At 46.8% G+C, this 5,629-nt stretch overlaps 1 annotated feature.

Annotated features, from left to right (window-relative positions):
* Nucleotides 254–383: a silencer, noted in NCBI's record as "silent region_19168". NCBI's record gives its function as "represses an Ori minimal core promoter by ATAC-STARR-seq in GM12878 lymphoblastoid cells {active_cell/tissue: GM12878}" and the evidence as "EXISTENCE:reporter gene assay evidence [ECO:0000049][PMID:35858748]".

The raw sequence follows: 5,629 nt of genomic DNA, 5'->3' as shown, positions 1-5,629 counted from the left end.
TTTCATAAATGTGCTTTGGTTTGAAACGGTATTTGATCGAAGCCAGACATACCTAGCTGTGATCTGGACCAGTTCTGCTCACTGCATCCCCTCTCCACATCCTGCGGGGCCTGAGGTCAGTAGCCCTTGACTCTGTGTTCTGCCCTGAATCCAGGGCAGAACACGTGCTCAACAAATAACTCACTGAAACATTGAACTTGGGAAGGAGCCTATTTTTTCATGGTGTAAAATGACAAAACAAGGGCTCCCACTAGTGGACACTCCAAAAACATTGACTCTTAACAGAATTTGGATTCGATCTAACAGCAAGTTTGTTAAGATGTCTAAGTGTGAATGCCTGGAGCTAGGCAACGTTCATGCCATTTCCCCTGCAGCCACCAGAGGGCAGTGGGTGACGGATTAGGACAAGGACACTACCCCTCCCTCATAAGTTTTACAAGGGAGTCTTCCTTAGCACATATTTTCTAACCTTAGGGAGCTTCATTATAAAATGATTATTTGCTTTTATTCTGCAATATCAGTTGGGAGCTAAATGCAAATTCACTACAAGGAACAAATGTAAGGTAATCCTCTAACTGGAAGATTAAGCTTGTGCCACATACAAAGTATGTGTCCAACCTCACAATCTGTGCCCAGATGTGTCCCTCCCTCCACATCCATCCATCTATAGATATGTCTATGTTTTGTGTTTTGTGTTTGTGTGTGTGTGGTTTTTTTTTTTAATTTTTTTTACAGGCTCTCACTCCAGTCACCCAGGCTGTACTGCAGTGGTGAGATCACTGCTCACTACAGCTTCAACTTCCTGGGTTCAGGTGATTCTCCCACCTCAGCCCCCAGAGTAGCTGAGACTACAGGTGTGCACCACCACACACCCCCTAATTTTTTGTATTTTTAGCAGAGACGGGGTTTTGCCGTGTTGCCCAGGCTGGTATAAACATGTCTATGTAAAATACCTTTTGAGAATTAGATATAATATAGACATTTGCCAATCACGTCGCTGCTTTTTCATTATGTTGTAAGACAGGGAAAATGGAACTGAAACTTTGAGAGACATAATGAAGAACATTGGCAGGATGTCTCAGCAGAAGTTTGCCAAAGTGGGAAATTTTGTGGTTAACATAGACAAGATCTAATATGCATTGCCTGCTATTCCTAAAGCACTGAGTCTTCCTTTCCCCAGGGGATGTGATAAAATCTTTTATACCCTAAAATAGCATCAGGTCAGAATAATGAAAAGTGGCTACAACAGTGTTGAAGTGGAGATGAGGTTATGATGTGGTGGACCTGGCACCCAATCTACAAAGTTCATCACTCTGTATTATAATCCTCAGCCTCCCTCACCGGTCAGCAACCTAAGAACAGAGTCCACACCTTGGTTCTGACTGTAGCGTAGGCCCCAGCTCAGCACCAGGCATAGAACAGGTGTCAAATACAACTGAATTAATAAAATAGAGACTCATATCTAACAAACTGGATAACATACTTGAAATTGGGACTCTCCCAGGACAGCCCAGATAGGAGGTCACCATAAACCTGTTGCTTGACAACCTGCCCAGGCCTTGGACCTGATTGCCTTCCCACAGCATCCTCCAGCCAGGAAATGTGCAGAATCTCTGCCTGCTTTGACTCTGGTTTACTTTGGCTCCCGTGATTGTCCTACAGTGTGGTTCTCCACTCTGAGTCTCAGGGGACACCTGTGACGGCAGGGGAAGCCCGTTGGATCTCTCTTCTCCAGACCCCTGCCATTGCCTTGCTCTCGGTTCTGTGCACAGCCCTGGTAGCGGAGTCGCCTGCAATTCCCTTTGAGAGACACCCCAGCATGCTGATTCTGGGGAGCCCACACTAGCCAAGACAGGCCCCACCGCCCCATCGCTTCCAGCATCCGCAGCAGAGATCCGGGATCAGATGTTTACAAATGCATAGGAAGAAAAGCGATCTCACCCCCATCTTGACTGAAAACAAATCCCAGTCCGGACAAGTCAGAAAATTGGGGTTATTTGTCCTACTTGATGGAATAAGAATACGATGACAATAAATAAAATAAAATAAATTGCAAAATGCTGAACAAGTGACAAAGAATAATGTCTCCACAGAGATGCCTTGTCCCCCATAGAGATGCCTTTCTTTTCTGTTGATAGCCCTGACATCCTTCAGGCATGGCTACATGAGTTAGTTCTGCTCTTGGAGGCGGGGACGGCAGCACACCTGTGGGCCACAGGACCGGGTCCACTGCTCCAATGTGGGACGCCGGCTCCCACACTCCCTTTTCCTTGGGGTTGGTTGTGACCATGAAAGTTCAGGGCTTCCGGCCATGGCTCTTCAGGAAATCACTCCTCCAGGAAAATCTCCCCGCTTTTCAGAAGGGAAGCGTCGGGCACGCCTGAGGCCGCCATGCAGGACCCCCAGGTCCAAAGCCGTGAGCGTCCGCCACTCCTGTTCTTTCGCGCCTCACAGGGGTCGCAAACAGACAGAAATCGAATGGGAGAATCCCTGACACCCCCGGGTCCTACAGGCCTTTGCCAATCCCATCCTCCCGGAGCCAGCCGGCCTCACCCTCCTCCTGCAGATACTTCGCAGCCTCCCTGCACCGCAGTCGCTGGCCCCTTCCCTGCGCCCAGAAAGGCAGCGGCTCTGCATCCCTGCGCCGGCGATCACCCTGGAGGCCCGGGCGGCACTCCACCTTAAGGACAAAGACGGCCGCCTCCGGAGAGGCTTGAGTGCACCAGGACCCCGCGGGTGCTCCGGGGGACCCCCTCAGCTGCCGCGCAGCCAGTGCCAGCCAACCACCACCCCGTGAGCCCCGTGCTCTGGTTTCCATCTCCCGCTGCCTAGTTACTAATCCCATTCATCCTTCAGCAGCACTTGACAAAGTTCTCTCCACCCCGAATCTCATCAGGGTTGGTGTGAGGCCAGTCTGAAACTTCAGTCACCATTGATCTGTTAATTCCAGGCGTCGGCTTGACTGGCTGTGCGCTACACAGAGATTTGAGCAAACATTCCTCTGGGCAGGTCTCCGTGAGTGCTTTTGGATGAGATGAACATTGTAATCTTAGATTAAGTACAGAAGAGAGCCCTCCCTAATTTGGGTGGGCCCCATCCAATCAGCCAAAGGCCTGAATAGAACACAAAAGCTCATTAAGACAGAACTCCTTCTGCCTGACTGCCTTTGAGCTGGGACATGAGCTTTCTCCTGCCTTCACACTCCAACTGAAACATGAGTTCTTCCTGGGTCTCAAGCTGCCAGCATTTGGACTGGAACCTGCTGGGTCTCTTGATGACTGCAGACCTTAGGACTTAGCCCCCATAATACTCGTTATATATAATTATGTCATATATCTAATTAATATAAATTACATAGTTATATAAATTGATATGAATGTATAATACTTGTAAACATATAATGTATATCATATGTAAGTATTTCTCTAGGGAACACTGACTGATACACCCATCCAGCCCGCAGCTGGTTCTGGCTGTACTGCCAGGGTTCTTTGCTCCATGCTGAATGTCTAAGTCAGGTCTTGTTGCTAATTATGCAAGAGTGATGGAAACCCCTAACACCAAGAAATCATTCAAAGAAAACATTATTTTTCCATTTTATCTCTCTTTTGCAAGATAGTAAGATCTCATCAATACTTACCCTAGATCAGTATCAAAGAGAAGAGAGTTCAGCAAAGACAACACAGGGAAGAGAAATTGAAAGGTATCAATGGCCCTTATGTGCCATCTATAAGATAAATAAAATTCTACCTTATTTAATTCACATGTCAATTTGATTTGGGCAGTGATGCAATCAGTCTCAGACATGAAGAAAGCAGTACTCTGAGAGATAAAGTTGCCCATCCACAGTTCATAACCAGTGAGTGGTGGAGCTGAGAGGAAAGCCTCCTGCCCCATAGCCTCATCCCCTCCCCTAGCTAACCGTGGGCCACCATGACAAGTCCACCCGTCCTGGAGCCCACACTCACCCCTAGCCCTGCCATGCTCACCTTGAGCCTCACGCACTTCTCAGTTCTCCCCTGATCCTCCTACAGCATGGACCTGGGCAGACATCCTGTGAACTGCTTGAGTGCAGTCAGGAACCCAGGCCCCCCAGAGTGCCAAGGAGTCAGGTTTCACCTGACCCCTCAGTCCAGAGACAATGACTGACTTCAGACACATCTAGCAACAGCCTCAAGCAGAGCACTGAGCTGCGCCTGCTGGATACAGGGCTATTACTCACCTCAGATTTCTCCTGTCCTCTGTGAAATGGCAAATAAATAATGGCCCCTAATCTGCCCTAGGCTCAGATCTGCCTTTGCACCTAATAGCTGTGTCCTGTGACCCTTCCTTCCCCTCTTGTAGCCCTGCCTCCTCACCACGGCCCCCCCAATACTCTTCTTTTACATCTTCTCAACTTGAACTCTGCTGCAAGTGAGAGGAAGTAAAAGAAGAGTATTGTGAACCCACATCTCACTGTGCACTCTAACCATGCCCCCATCTGTCATGATGCTTGACACAACCCAGCCCAGTGGTTAAAGGATGTGATTCCAGAGCCTGAGCCCCTGGGTTGGTCTTAGCTCTGCTGTGGTTCCTAGAAGTGTGACCTTGGCAGTCACTGTGAACTCTGCTCACTGGGTTCCTCATATGTAATGTGAGGAATATTGCGAGGGCTAAGGGAGTAGGTACAGAGGAGAAGCAAAACAGTGTGCCTGGGGAAAGTCATCAGCACTGGTGAGAATCATAGAGTGATGCACTGGGCACAGAAGGGAGGTGGTCTTAAGGAGTGATAGGCAGAGAGCGTGAGGGTGGCGTCCAGATCCTGGGAAATCTGCTTTGATGCAGCGCTGGTTTCTTGGTGTAAGTCAGTGATTAATAAATCGTCATGCTGTGTGCTGATGATGTTTACATTTTCTGTCTTTGTATTATACTTTTAAAGTCAACATTTTAAAAATAATGCCTGGAAATTTAATAATAATTCCTGGGAGGTGATCAGACCTCTAAAAGCTGTGGAGATGGTGAGGTCCAAGCATATCTCTAAGGAAGAAAAGAAAATTTCATGAATATCTGGGGTAAAGTTGGGGTAAAGAGGAAATTGCATTAAGGGAGATGATATATAGATAAGAAAGATAGGTATAAGAGAGACATAGATTAATTGGTGATAGGTGATAGATAATAGATTGATTGATTAATTAATAAATGACAGATAAATAGATGAATGTATGACAGATGATAGTTGATGGATGACAGATGGATGATATAAATTAATAGGTACCAGATAGATGAGGATAGATTGAAACAGTGATTGTGATAGACAGTTGATAGATAATTGATTAATAAGTGATAGATGATAGATAATTGATTGATAGATCAATAGGTGATAGATAATAGACAGATGATACATGACAATTGCTGATAAATAGATAGATGATGAGTAGGTGGATGGGTGAATAGATGGATAGATGATGAGTAGATGGATGGGTGAATAGATAGATAGATGATAGAAAGAACAGTTATGGGTGACAAGTAGGAAGGACCAGAGAAGAGAGGGGAGAATAATGGGGGCCTTGGGGTTACTTCCTCCTTTGTCCCCTCCCTAAGCTCAAGACCCCTTTGTGACTGTACCATATCTTTGTGATGCGGGTCAGGA

This window comes from Homo sapiens, chromosome 8 (assembly GCF_000001405.40).
Source record: "Homo sapiens chromosome 8, GRCh38.p14 Primary Assembly".
NCBI lineage: Eukaryota > Metazoa > Chordata > Mammalia > Primates > Hominidae > Homo > Homo sapiens.
This window is presented reverse-complemented; position numbering and strand designations above follow the sequence as displayed.